Source organism: Homo sapiens, chromosome X, assembly GCF_000001405.40.
Source record: "Homo sapiens chromosome X, GRCh38.p14 Primary Assembly".
Classification (NCBI taxonomy): domain Eukaryota; kingdom Metazoa; phylum Chordata; class Mammalia; order Primates; family Hominidae; genus Homo; species Homo sapiens.
In genome coordinates, this window is record NC_000023.11 from 126,219,838 (window position 1) to 126,233,696 (window position 13,859).

Consider the following 13,859-nt stretch of genomic DNA (forward strand, 5'->3'; position numbering starts at 1 on the left):
AAACCCCAACATTAGAAACGTAAGAGATTAGGCATAGATAGGTAGCTGATGGGGATGGCCAAAGGGATAATTAATTTTAAAATAGGGTATCTTACCTACAGAATATGTCACCATGGGCACAGAAACATGATACCCTTGGGGCAAGGTCTTTGGCACACTAAAGGCCTGCACAGCTGTCTATTCCTTTAGCATCAGTCCAATTCACTACCAGTGAAAGAATTAATATCAAAAATACTAGAAAAACTCACCCCACCTCCTAATTCTGATTAATAAGGCCCTCATTTGTGAAAATTTTCAGAAAACCAAGATTCATTAGACTTTTGAAGGAACACAATGGAAAGCATACATTGATCAGTGAAATCAGTCCCTAAGCAAAACACATTAATGGTTCCCCAGTAATTTGTTTTCTAACTTATGAGAACTTATAGAACCATTTCATCTATACTTAAAGTCAAGAGGGCATTGTGACTTTAAAAACAAAAATTGGCTTCTACGATAAAGAAACAAGCAGAAAGCTCTAATTATGGGAGATTAAAACATGATAGCTGGTATTTTAAATAAATCAGTAGGAAGGGCTGAAATGGTAGAATTGGCATACCTAACTACAAAATTTTATGATTTAGAAGACTATAGAAAAGGATTCTATTGAAATACATTGCAAAAAGATAACAACGAAAACTATAAGAGAACACTTTTAAAACATGGAAAATGCATATTAGACCAAAAACAATCAATAAGAAGAAAATGGAGATGAGAGAAGAAACAAGCTTTTTTTTTTTTTTGAAAGACTTTCTTCTCTTGGTTTCTGAGAAATACTGTTTCCTGGATTTGCACTTACTTTAATGGCTATTCCTCTTCCTCCTGAGCTAGGCACTCATTCTCTTTCTAAACCTTGGCTATTAGAGTATCCCAGGGCTCAATTCTCAATCTTCTTTTCTCCATTTAAACTCATTACTTAGATGACTTTATTCAGTTGCAAGAATTTAAATACCATATATATGTGGATAATTTCAAAATTTATATATCAACTCCCATTTGTTACCTGAACTCACATACAGTCATGTGTCATTTTATGACAAGGATATATTTTGAGAAATGCATTAAGTTATTTTGTCTTTGTGTGAACCTCATAAAGTGTACTTACACAAAACTAGATAGTGTAGCCTACTACACAGCTAGGCTATATGGTATAGCCTATTGCTCTTAGGCTACAAATCTGTACAGCATGTTACTATACTGAATATGGGAGGTAATTGTAACACAAAGGTGAGTATTTATATATCTAAACATAGAAAAGGTACAGTAAAATTAGAGTGTAAAATATCAAAAACATTAAAGCTACATAGGGCCCTTTCTATGAATTGAGCACACAGGGCTGGAAGTTGCTCTGGGTGTCAGTGAGTGAGTGGTAAGGGAATGTGCAGTCCCAAGACATTACTGTGCACTACTGTACACTTTGTAAACACTATATACTTAGGCTGTATTAAACTTATGAAAATATATTTTTTCTTTATTCCACGATAAATTAACCTTATCTTAAGGTAACTTTTTTACTTTACAAACCTTCAACTTGTTTTTAACTTTCTGACTCTTCAGTAATAACACTTAAACCACAAAACACTGTACAGTTATACAGAAGTATTCTCTGTTTATATCCCTTTTCAACAGGCTCTTTTCTATTTTTAAAATTTTCTATATTTTTTATTTTTTAAACATTTTGGTTAAAAACTAAGACACAAACACATGTATTAGCCTAGGCCTACCCAAGGTCAAGATGGTCAATATCACTATCTGCTACCTCCACATCTTATCCTACTGGAAAGTCTTCAGGGGCAATAACACGTGGAGCTATTATCTCTCATAACAGTGCCTTCTTCTGGAATATCTTCTGAAGGACCCACCTGTGGCTGTTTTACAGTCAATTTTTTTTTCATATAATTAGAAGGAGTACACTCTAATGTAATGATAAAAAGTATAGCAAATAGATACACCAATAACATCGCTTTTTATTACCATTATCAAGTATTGTGTACTATACATAATCATATGTGCTACACATTTTTATTTTATTTTTGAGACAGAGTTTCACTGTTTTTGCCCAGGCTAGAGTGCAATGGCACGATCTTGGCTCACTGCAACCTCCGCCTCCTGGGTTCAAGTGATTCTACTGCCTCAGCCTCCCAAGTAGCTGGGATTACAGGCACCCACCACCACGCTCAACTAATTTTTGTATTTTTAGTAGAGACGGGGTTTCACCATGTTGGCCAGCCTGGTCTCAAACTCCTGACCTCAGGTGATCCGCCCAACTCAGCCTTCCAAAGTGCTGGGATTACAGGTGTGATGCACTGCACCTGGCCTGTATGTGCTGTACTTTTATATGACTGGCAATGCATTAGGTTTGTCTACACCAGCATCACCACAAACACATGAGTCATGTGTTGTGCTATGATATTTATGATGGTTTCCACATTACTGGGCTATAAGAATTTTTCAGTTCCATTACGATCTTATGGAACCACCACCATATTTGTGGTCCTTCATTTATGGAAACATTGTTATGTGATGCATGACGGAATTTAATTTCCCACACATCATGCATACATGAAGATATAATTGGCATATAATATTAATGTGACCAAACTAAATGTTTGTATTCCCCAACCCAATATGCTCCTCTTGCAGTGTTCCTTAAACTCAGTAAATGCCCAAACCTGAAGTCATTATTGACTTTTTTTTTACCTCCTCCAAACTAAACTTTCTGTAAATCTAGTGAACTCAAGCTTCAAAACATATCCAGAACCGTATAGTTTCTCTGCCTCAAACCTGGATCCAAACATTTCTTCAGGAAATCCTGCTTCCTTTTAGTGGAGAATATGTTAGGCACTAAGATCTTGTTACTAGATATACTGATTGCTACTGGGGTGTCATTGATATTAGACTTCTTCAGTGGTCAGTGCTAAAGCTACCACAGGGTTCTTCCTAACCTGCCCCCATTCAATATTTGTATTTCCTTTATTCCACTGTGAGAACCCTGCCTTCAAATAATATTCATATTTATTCTATCCTAGAATATACAATTTCAGAATATGAAGCCAATATGAGTTCCAAAAGACAAACATGACGAGTAAAGTTCAAGATTTCTTTCTGTTTTATGTGTATTTAGACTATATCCTTGCCAGAGTACAATTTCAAATGTTACTTGAATTCAGTTTTTTTTTCTCCATATGCTTAAGTTATTTACTTGAGAACTGTTATGACCTTTGGTTTTGTTTTTAATTTTAGAGTCTCATTTATTAATCTTCTTGATTTATTTTATTGCTTGAATTAAAAAATTTATATGGTGCAAAAATCAAAACTTTTATACTCAGAAAATTTTCCTTTCCATTCCTCCACTCTTCACCCTAATCCTATAGGTTACCATTTTAATTGGTTTCTGGTTTATCCTTTCTGTTTCTTTTTTGGGAAAAACAAAAAACAAAACAAGACAAACAAAATAAAAACCTTGTAACCAAAAGTAAGTACTGAAAACCTAAGGGTGTCGTGCCAAATGGACATAGGAGCCAGTTTGAGGTGGTTCCCACAGGTTACAGTTGAGATAATTTGGGCATAAAAAAAGAATAACAATGACAATAAATTGAATTTTTTAATAATGAGTTCCTAGTGAATGCTATGTGGATATTTTTTCCAATAACTCTTTAGAGTTCCATATTTCTAAAACATAGAATAAAATTATATATCCAGAATCAAAGAACTCTCACTGCCTCCACTGCCATCATCTTAGTCCAAGCCACAATCTTTCAGCATATAGATTATTGCAATAGCCTCCTAACTAGTCCCTCTGCTTCCACCTAACCTTCTCCAGAGAGGACTCATTAGTGGTCCACTCAAAATGTAAGTCACATAATGTGAATGTGCTGCTCAAAACCCTCCAGTGGCTTTCCAGGAATAAGCGTCAACGTCATTAAAATACACCCCCTAGTACTTTCTGTATTTTTAAAATAATGTTCCTGCAATAGACTGAATGTTTGTCTTCCCTCCAGATTGACATGTTGAAATCCCAACCCCTATGTGGTTATGTTATGATGGTATTAGAAGGTAATGCCTTAGGAAGTGATTGGGTCATAGGATGAATGGGATTAATGCCCTTACATAAAGGACTGAAGAAGTTCCTCACCACTTTTTCCATGTGAGGATAAAATGAGAAGATAGCCATCTTCAAAACTGGAAGACTGACCTCGCCAGAACCTAGTCATTGTGACATCATGATCTTGAGCTTCCAGACTCCCCAGAACAGTGAAAAATAAAATTCTGTTGTTTATAATCCACCCACTTTATGCTATTTTGTTATAGAAGCCTAAATATTGGGATAACTTTAAACATCACTTTGTTTTATGTGTGTGTGTGTGTGTTTATATTGATGATGCAGAGATGTGCTACGTAAATCCACAACTTTTTGATAAGATCCACAGTAATTTTAGCACAATTTAGGCGAAGGCAGGGGCAATGTGAAAGCAGCCATCTATAAATTTCCAGAATGACAAGCGATGACCATGTTATTTCTGATTTCCAAATGGTGAGCCGACTGATTTGAACTTAGTAATCTTCATTGAGAATTATAGATTATAAAGGCAGAGATAAACTGATTAGCAGCATGCCTACACTCTCCTTAATTCTTCTTCCAACCACAAAATATCATTTCCACTTTCAGACCTCCGAAAGAATCATGAGTAGAGATGGGAATGTTGTATGGAAGCTATTAAAAGCAATTCCCTCTTCCTCCTCACCAAGGCCCAGTTTACTTTAGGTACATTCCACCAATTTTCCCTTTATTTAGCCTCAGAGTTATTACACAGCTGTTATAGGTTATCAAACTTTCCCCTTATCTAAAATACATTTGTGCAACAGTGCTAGTGGTCACACAGAATTTTCTGGCTAATAAATATTGTTCATCATCTCCTTTTTCATTAAGAAACCTAACTTCTAGAATCAGATACACCTGATTACAGCTATTACTTAAGAGTTGGCTTTGTAGAGTCTTTGTCTACAAAAAGGAATTAATATATTACTTACTTAGTAGTCTTCTTGGGTTGTATTCCAGCCCCACCATTTTACCATCTATCAGCTATGCCATCTTTGAAGTTACTTGCTCTCTCTGTGTAGTAGTTTTCCTATAAAATGGAATAAGACTTACTTCATAAGATTTTATGATTATTAACTATTAATAAATAAATAATAAAATACAGAAGTTATTTATTGGGATCTCACTACAAGTTAGATTCTGCGCTAAGGGCTTTACATATATTAACATATTAAATATCATAGACAAAGGCCTAGGTTGGTATATTAGAGAAAATTTTAAAATGCTAGCGTGGCTGTGGCTGCTGTGTAGTGAATAAGGGAGAAAGTGGCACAAGATTAGGTGTTTAACGTAAGAAAGAGCTACATCATGCCCTTTATAGGCTATGTAAACGATTTTGAATGTTATTTTAAACATCATGTAAGGCTTTTGAATTATATTAAGCCAGAAATACAGTAAGTTTCTAGAGTGTATCTAATCATGTGAAAGGCTTAAACAGATCTCATTGTGAGAACTTAAAAAAATACATTAAATTTGTCTAATATGGTGGCAATAGTTGATCTTGACAAGAGTAGTTTTATGAGGATTTGTGTAGTGAAACTCCAGTGTATTGTTTGCATCTGTGTCCCCATCCAAATCACATGTGGATTTGTAATCCCCAATGTTGGAGGTGGGGCCTGGTGGGAGGTGATTGGATCATGAGGGTGAATTTCTCATGAATAGTTTAGCACCATCCTTTTTGTGCTGTACTCCTGCTAGTGAGTGATTTCTCATGAGATCTGGTAGTTTAAAAGTGTGTAGCACCTCCCACCCTTGATCCTGCTCCTGCCATGTAAGATGTGCCTGCTCCCACGTCAAGTTCTGCCATGATTGTAAGTTTCCTGAGGCCTCTCCAGAAGTCCAGCAGATGCCAGCATTATGCTTCCTGTACAAACTGCAGAATTGGGAGCCAATTAAACCTCTTTTCTTTATAAATTATCCAGTCTCAGGTATTTCTTTATAGCAATGCAAGAATGGACTCATACACACTAGTGTATCTCTGATTGTAATGTCTGTAGTAACACCTAAAAAAATTAAATTGTTTGGGTTGTTTTTGATGTTGTACACTCCAGAAAGGCAATGCATTATATGACTTCTATAAATCCCTTATAGTTCTCCGATTCCAAGATGTTCACTCTTTTCTGCATGGAATTTCTTAAACGAAAGTGAAATCTGAATCATAGACAACATTGCTATTGTTGGTTTTAAAGCAAGTATTATTTCCACTTACCAACATGTACCTGGATATCTGATGAAAATTTTGTCAATTCTTTTCTTGTATATTTGTATTTCAGAGAACTGATAGAACCAAACTCGTAGCATATCAAGTTTTTTTCCACATAACACCCATCCAAATAATAATAATTCTGTTATCTAGCTTCCATTTTTTTTTGTAATTTATCCATGACTTATTTTTCTATTCTGCTACTGTTAACTCTTCAACAATTTTGCTGTTCATTAGCACATCTCTCAGACAGTGAACAAGGAAAGCAACAAAAATAAGTTGAATCAAATCAGGTTGTTTTATTATTCATCACCAGATCTCAAAAAGAAGCTGTAGGAAGAGAATGCAAATTAATTTCTGAATGGATATTTTGGATTATCTCAGTCTTAGCTAGTGCCCATGTATCAGAAAAATAATCAGCTTCATTATTGACAAAACTAAATCTAGTGTTTTTGATTTTATATAATTGCTAGATGGCTCTTACAATAATACAAATAACAGAAAATTCACAGACGGTTCTGCACGATATTCAGGCACCATTCAAAAGTGAAAAGATGCAGAACTACAACCCCTTTCTAGGACATCCCTGAAGGAGAGCGGTGAAGGGGAATCTTCCCAGTGAGCAGAACTTCGAGGAGTGCACATAGTTGTGCACTTTGCATGGAAGGAGAAATGGCCAGATGTGCGATTAGATACTGATTCATGGGCTGTAGCCACTGGTTTGACTGGATGGTCAGGGATGTGGAAGAAGCCTGATTGGAAAATTAGTAACAAAGAAATTTGGGGAAGAGATCTCTGGATGGACCTCTCTGAGTGGTCAAACATTGTGAAGATATTTATTTCCAATGTGAGTGCTCACCAACTGGTGACCTCAGCAAAGGAGGATATTAAAAATCATGTGGATAAGATGACCATTCTGTGGACACCATGCAGCCTCTTTCCTCAGCCACCCCTGTCATCGCCCAATGGGCCCATGAAAAAAGTGGCCATAGTGGCAGGGATGGAGGTTACGCATGGGCTCAGCAACACAGACTTCCATTCACCAAGGCTGACCTGGCTATAACCAGTGCTGAGTGCCCAATTTGCCAGCAGCAGAGACCAACACTGAGCTCTTGATATGGCACCATTCTTCAGGGTGATCAGCCTGCTGCCTGGTGGCAGGTTGATTATATTGGACCTCTTTTATCATGGAAAAGGCAGAGGTTTGTCCTTGCTGGAATAGACACTTACTGTGGATATGGGTTTACCTATCCTGCACACTATGCTTCTGCCATGACTACAATCTGTGGCTCACGGAATGCCTTATCCTCCGCCCTGGTACTCCACACAGCATTGTCTCTGACCAAGGCACCCCCTTTATGGTTACAGAAGTGTGGCAGTGGGCTCATGCTCATGGAAATCACTGGTTTTACTATGTTCCCCATCATCCTGAAGTAGCTGGATTGATAGAATAGTGAAATGGCCTCTTGAAGTCACAATTACAATGCCGTCTAGGCAACAATACTTTGCAGGGCTGCAGCAAAGTTCTCCAGAAGGCCCTGTATGCTCTGAGTCAGCATCCAATATATGGTACTGTTTCTCCCATAGCCAGGTTTCACGGGTCCAGAAATCAAGAGGTGGAAGTGGAAGTGGCACCACTCACCATCCCCCCTAGTGATCCACTAGTAAAATTTTTGCTTCCTGTTCCCACAACAATATATGCTGCTGGCATAGAGGTCTTAGTTCCAGAGCAAGGAACGCTCCCACCAGGAGACACAACAATGATTCCATTAAACTGGAAGTTAAGATTGCCACCTGGACACTTTGGGCTCCTCCTACCTTTAAGTCAACAGGCTAAGAAGGGAGTTACAGTGTTGACTGGGATGATAGACCCAGATTATCAAGATGAAATCAGTCTACTGCTCCACAACGGAGGTAAGGAAGTATATATATATGGAATGCAGGAGATCCATTAGAGTGTCTCTTAGTATTACCATGACCTGTGATTAAGGTCACTGGGAAACTACAGCAGCCAAATCCAGGCAGGACTACAAATGACTCAGACCCTTCAGGAATGAAGGTTTGGGTCACTCCACCAGGAAAAAAACAGACAAACAAACAAACAACAACAACAAAAAACAACGTGCTGAAGTGCTTGCTGAAGGCAAAGGGCATACAGAATGGGTAGTAGAAGTAGGTAGTCATCAATACCAGCTATGACCACGTGACCAGCTGCAGAAACAAGGACTGTAATTGTCATGAGTATTTCCTCCTTCTATTGGTAAAAACATGTATGTGTATGTATACACTTGTACCAAGGAAATATCTTCATTTTATATCCTTTCTACTTTAACATGTGACATAAGATTTATTGACTTCACATCAACATTTAAGTGTTGTTAACTTTATGTAATAGTATTTGGGTTGGGGATTGGTGCATTTCTAGTTGTATGAAGGACAGTTGTATTATGTTACATGTAATTATAACCTTATTATTTTCTTTATTGAAGATTATGTATGATTTCATAAGATGTGTATGGGTCCACGTTGACAAGCATGGACTGGTGATGGTTAATACTGTGTGTCAACTTGATTGGGTTGAAGGATACAAAGTATTGATCCTGGTGGTGTCTGTGAGGGTGTTGCCAAAGGAGGTTAACATTCGAGTCAGTGGGCTGGGAAAGGCAGACCCACCTTTAATCTGGGTGGGTACACTCTAGTCAGCTGCCAGCCCAGCTAGAATATGAGCAGGCAGATAAATGTAAAAAGAGAGACTGGCCTATCCTCCCAGCCTACATCTTTCTTCTGTGCTGGATGCTTCCTGCCCTCAAACATCGGACTCCAAGTTCTTCAGTTTTGGAAGTCGGACTGGCTCTCCTTGCTCCTCAGACTGCAGATGACCCATTGTGGTACCTTGTGATCATGTGAGTTAATACTTAATAAATGTCCTGTTATATAAATATAAATATATATATATATATTTCCATTAATTCTGTCCCTATAGAGAACCCTAATACATCTAGCTTACACACTTAAAAGAGATGATAAGATAAAACAGTAAACCATTGTTTAACATGTGTACTAATCTGTACGAATAAGTAATTGTGTAGAAATAAAGGAAATAAGAACATATGAAAGACTTCTTTGACACAATATATATCTGTATTCTGAAATTAGTCATTATGGTACTTCTATTCCAATGATGAGTCCATTAATAACAGACTAAATTGATTAGAGATGGTTTCTTTGTCTTTATTAAGGATGGAGTTAACTGAGGCTTAACAAAATGGTTCAAGTTATTTTTTAAAATATTATTATACTTTAAGTTTTAGGGTACCTGTGCACATTGTGCAGGTTAGTTACATATGTATACATGTGCCATGCTGGTGCGCTGCACCCACTACCTAGTCAACTAGCATTAGGTATATCTCCCAATGCTATCCCTCCCCCCTCCCCCCACCCCACAACAGTCCCCAGAGTGTGATGTTCCCCTTCCTGTGTCCATGTGATCTCATTGTTCAATTCCCACCTACGAGTGAGAATATGCGGTGTTTGGTTTTTTGTTCTTGCGATAGTTTACTGAGAATGATGATTTCCAATTTCATCCATGTCCCTACAAAGGACATGAACTCATCATTTTTTATGGCTGCATAGTATTCCATGGTGTATATGTGCGACATTTTTTTAATCCAGTCTATCATTGTTGGACATTTGGGTTGGTTCCAAGTCTTTGCTATTGTGAATAATGCCGCAATAAACATACGTGTGCATGTGTCTTTATAGCAGCATGATTTATAATCCTTTGGGTATATACCCAGTAATGGGATGGCTGGGTCAAATGGTATTTCTAGTTCTAGATCCCTGAGGAATCACCACACTGACTTCCACAAGGGTTGAACTAGTTTACAGTCCCACCAACAGTGTAAAAGTGTTCCTATTTCTCCACATCCTCTCCAGCACCTGTTGTTTCCTGACTTTTTAATGATTGCCATTCTAACTGGTGTGAGATGGTATCTCATTGTGGTTTTGATTTGCATTTCTCTGATGTCCAGTGATGGTGAGCATTTTTTCATGTGTTTTTTGGCTGCATAAATGTCTTCTTTTGAGAAGTGTCTGTTCATGTACTTCGCCCACTTTTTGATGGGGTTGTTTGTTTTTTTCTTGTAAATTTGTTGGAGTTCATTGTAGATGCTGGATATTAGCCCTTTGTCAGATGAGTAGGTTGCGAAAATTTTCTCCCATTTTCTAGGTTGCCTGTTCACTCTGATGGTAGTTTCTTTTGCTGTGCAGAAGCTCTTTAGTTTAATTAGATCCCATTTGTCAATTTTGTCTTTTGTTGCCATTGCTTTTGGTGTTTTAGACATGAAGTCCTTGCCCATGCGTATGTCCTGAATGGTATTGCCTAGGTTTTCTTGTAGGGTTTTTATGGTTTTAGGTCTAACGTTTAAGTCTTTAATCCATCTTGAATTGATTTTTGTATAAGTTGTAACGAAGGGATCCAGTTTCAGCTTTCTACATATAGCTAGCCAGTTTTCCCAGCACCATTTATTAAATAGGGAATCATTTCCCCATTGCTTGTTTTTCTCAGGTTTGTCAAAGATCAGATAGTTGTAGATATGCGGCGTTATTTCTGAGGGCTCTGTTCTGTTCCATTGATCAATATCTCTGTTTTGCTACCAGTACCATGCTGTTTTGGTTACTGTAGCCTTGTAGTGTAGTTTGAAGTCAGGTAGTGTGATGCCACCAGCTTTGTTCTTTTGGCTGAGGATTGACTTGGCGATGCGGGCTCTTTTTTGGTTCCATATGAACTTTAAAGTAGTTTTTTCCAGTTCCGTGAAGAAAGTCATTGGTAGCTTGATGGGGATGGCATTGAATCTGTAAATTACCTTGGGCAGTATGGCCATTTTCACGATATTGATTCTTCCTACCCATGAGCATGGAATGTTCTTCCATTTGTTTGTATCCTCTTTTATTTCCTTGAGCAGTGGTTTGTAGTTCTCCTTGAAGAGGTCCTTCACATCCCTTGTAAGTTGGATTCCTAGGTATTTTATTCTCTTTGAAGCAATTGTGAATGGGAGTTCACTCATAATTTGTCTCTCTGTTTGTCTGTTGTTGGTGTATAAGAATGCTTGTGATTTTTGCACATTGATTTTGTATCCTGAGACATTGCTGAAGTTGCTTATCAGCTTAAGGAGATTTTGGGCTGAGACAGTGGGGTTTTCTAGATATACAATCATGTCGTCTGCAAACCGGGACAATTTGACTTCCTCTTTTCCTAATTGAATACCCTTTATTTCCTTCTCCTGCCTAATTGCCCTGGCCAGAACTTCCAACACTATGTTGAATAGGAGTGGTGAGAGAGGGCATCCCTGTCTTGTGCCAGTTTTCAAAGGGAATGCTTCCAGTTTTTGCCCATTCAGTATGATATTGGCTGCGGGTTTGTCGTAGATAGCTCTTATTATTTTGAAATATGTCCCATCAATACCTAATTTATTGAGAGTTTTTAGCATGAAGCCTTGTTGAATTTTGTCAAAGGCCTTTTCTGCATCTATTGAGATAATCATGTGGTTTTTGTCTTTGGCTCTGTTTATATGCTGGATTACATTTATTGATTTGCGTATATTGAACCAGCCTTGCATCCCAGGGATGAAGCCCACTTGGTCATGGTGGATAAGCTTTTTGATGTGCTGCTGGATTCGTTTTGCCAGTATTTTATTGAGGATTTTTGCATCAATGTTCATCAAGGATATTGGTCTAAAATTCTCTTTTTTGGTTGTGTCTCTGCCCGGCTTTGGTATCAGGATGATGCTGGCCTCATAAAATGAGTTAGGGAGGATTCCCTCTTTTTCTATTGATTGGAATAGTTTCAGAAGGAATGGTACCAGTTCCTCCTTGTACCTCTGGTAGAATTCGGCTGTGAATCCATCTGGTCCTGGACTCTTTTTGGTTGGTAAGCTATTGATTATTGCCACAATTTCAGGTCCTGTTATTGGTCTATTCAGAGATTCAACTTCTTCCTGGTTTAGTCTTGGGAGAGTGAATGTGTCGAGGAATTTATCCATTTCTTCTAGATTTTCTAGTTTATTTGCGTAGAGGTGTTTGTAGTATTCTCTGATGGTAGTTTGTATTTCTGTGGGATTGGTGGTGATATCCCCTTTATCATTTTTATTGCGTCTATTTGATTCTTCTCTCTTTTTTTCTTTATTAGTCTTGCTAGCGGTCTATCTGTTTTGTTGATCCTTTCAAAAAACCAGCTCCTGGATTCATTAATTTTTGAAGGGTTTTTTGTGTCTCTATTTCCTTCAGTTCTGCTCTGATTTTACTTATTTCTTGCCTTCTGCTAGCTTTTGAATGTGTTTGCTCTTGCTTTTCTAGTTCTTTTAATTGTGATGTTAGGGTGTCAATTTTGGATCTTTCCTGCTTTCTCTTGTGGGCATTTAGTGCTATAAATTTCCCTCTACACACTGCTTTGAATGCGTCCCAGAGATTCTGGTATGTTGTGTCTTTGTTCTCGTTGGTTTCAAAGAACACCTTTATTTCTGCCTTCATTTCGTTATGTACCCAGTAGTCATTCAGGAGCAGGTTGTTCAGTTTCCATGTAGTTGAGCGGTTTTGAGTGAGATTCTTAATCCTGAATTCTAGTGTGATTGCACCGTGGTCTGAGAGATAGTTTGTTATAATTTCTGTTCTTTTACATTTGCTGAGGAGAGCTTTACTTCCAAGTATGTGGTCAATTTTGGAATAGGTGTGGTGTGGTGCTGAAAAAAATGTATATTCTGTTGATTTGGGGTGGAGGGTTCTGTAGATGTCTATTAGGTCTGCTTGGTGCAGAGCTGAGTTCAATTCCTGGGTATCCTTGTTGACTTTCTGTCTCGTTGATCTGTCTAATGTTGACAGTGGGGTGTTAAAGTCTCCCATTATTAATGTGTGGGAGTCTAAGTCTCTTTGTAGGTCACTCAGGACTTGCTTTATGAATCTGGGTGCTCCTGTATTGGGTGCATATATATTTAGGATAGTTAGCTCTTCTTGTTGAATTGATCCCTTTACCGTTACGTAATGACCTTCTTTGTCTCTTTTGATCTTTGTTGGTTTAAAGTCTGTTTTATCAGAGACTAGGATTGCAACCCCTGCCTTTTTTTGTTTTCCATTTGCTTGGTAGATCTTCCTCCACCCTTTTGTTTTGAGCCTATGTGTGTCTCTGTACGTGAGATGGGTTTTCTGAATACAGCACACTGATGGGTCTTGACTCTTTATCCAATTTGCCAGTCTGTGTCTTTTAATTGGAGCATTTAGTCCATTTACATTTAAAGTTAATATTGTTATGTGTGAATTTGATCCTGTCATTATGATGTTAGCTGGTTATTTTGCTCGTTAGTTGATGCAGTTTCTTCCTAGTCTTGACGGTCTTTACATTTTGGCATGATTTTGCAGCAGCTGGTACTGATTGTTCCTTTCCATGTTTAGTGCTTCCTTCAGGAGCTCTTTTAGGGCAGGTCCGGTGGTGACAAAATCTCTCAGCATTTGCTTGTCTGTAAAGTA

At 37.9% G+C, this 13,859-nt stretch overlaps 1 long non-coding RNA gene across 1 annotated transcript in view; it reads right to left on the reverse strand.

Annotated features, from left to right (window-relative positions):
* LOC107985648 (uncharacterized) overlaps positions 1–5,168 on the reverse strand; it is a 29,376-nt gene extending 24,208 nt beyond the window's left edge. The window contains exon 1 of the long non-coding RNA XR_001755994.3: positions 5,071–5,168. This is a non-coding gene — a long non-coding RNA (uncharacterized LOC107985648). The remainder of the gene's footprint in view (positions 1–5,070) is intronic.
* Positions 5,169–13,859: the final 8,691 nt, after the last annotated feature.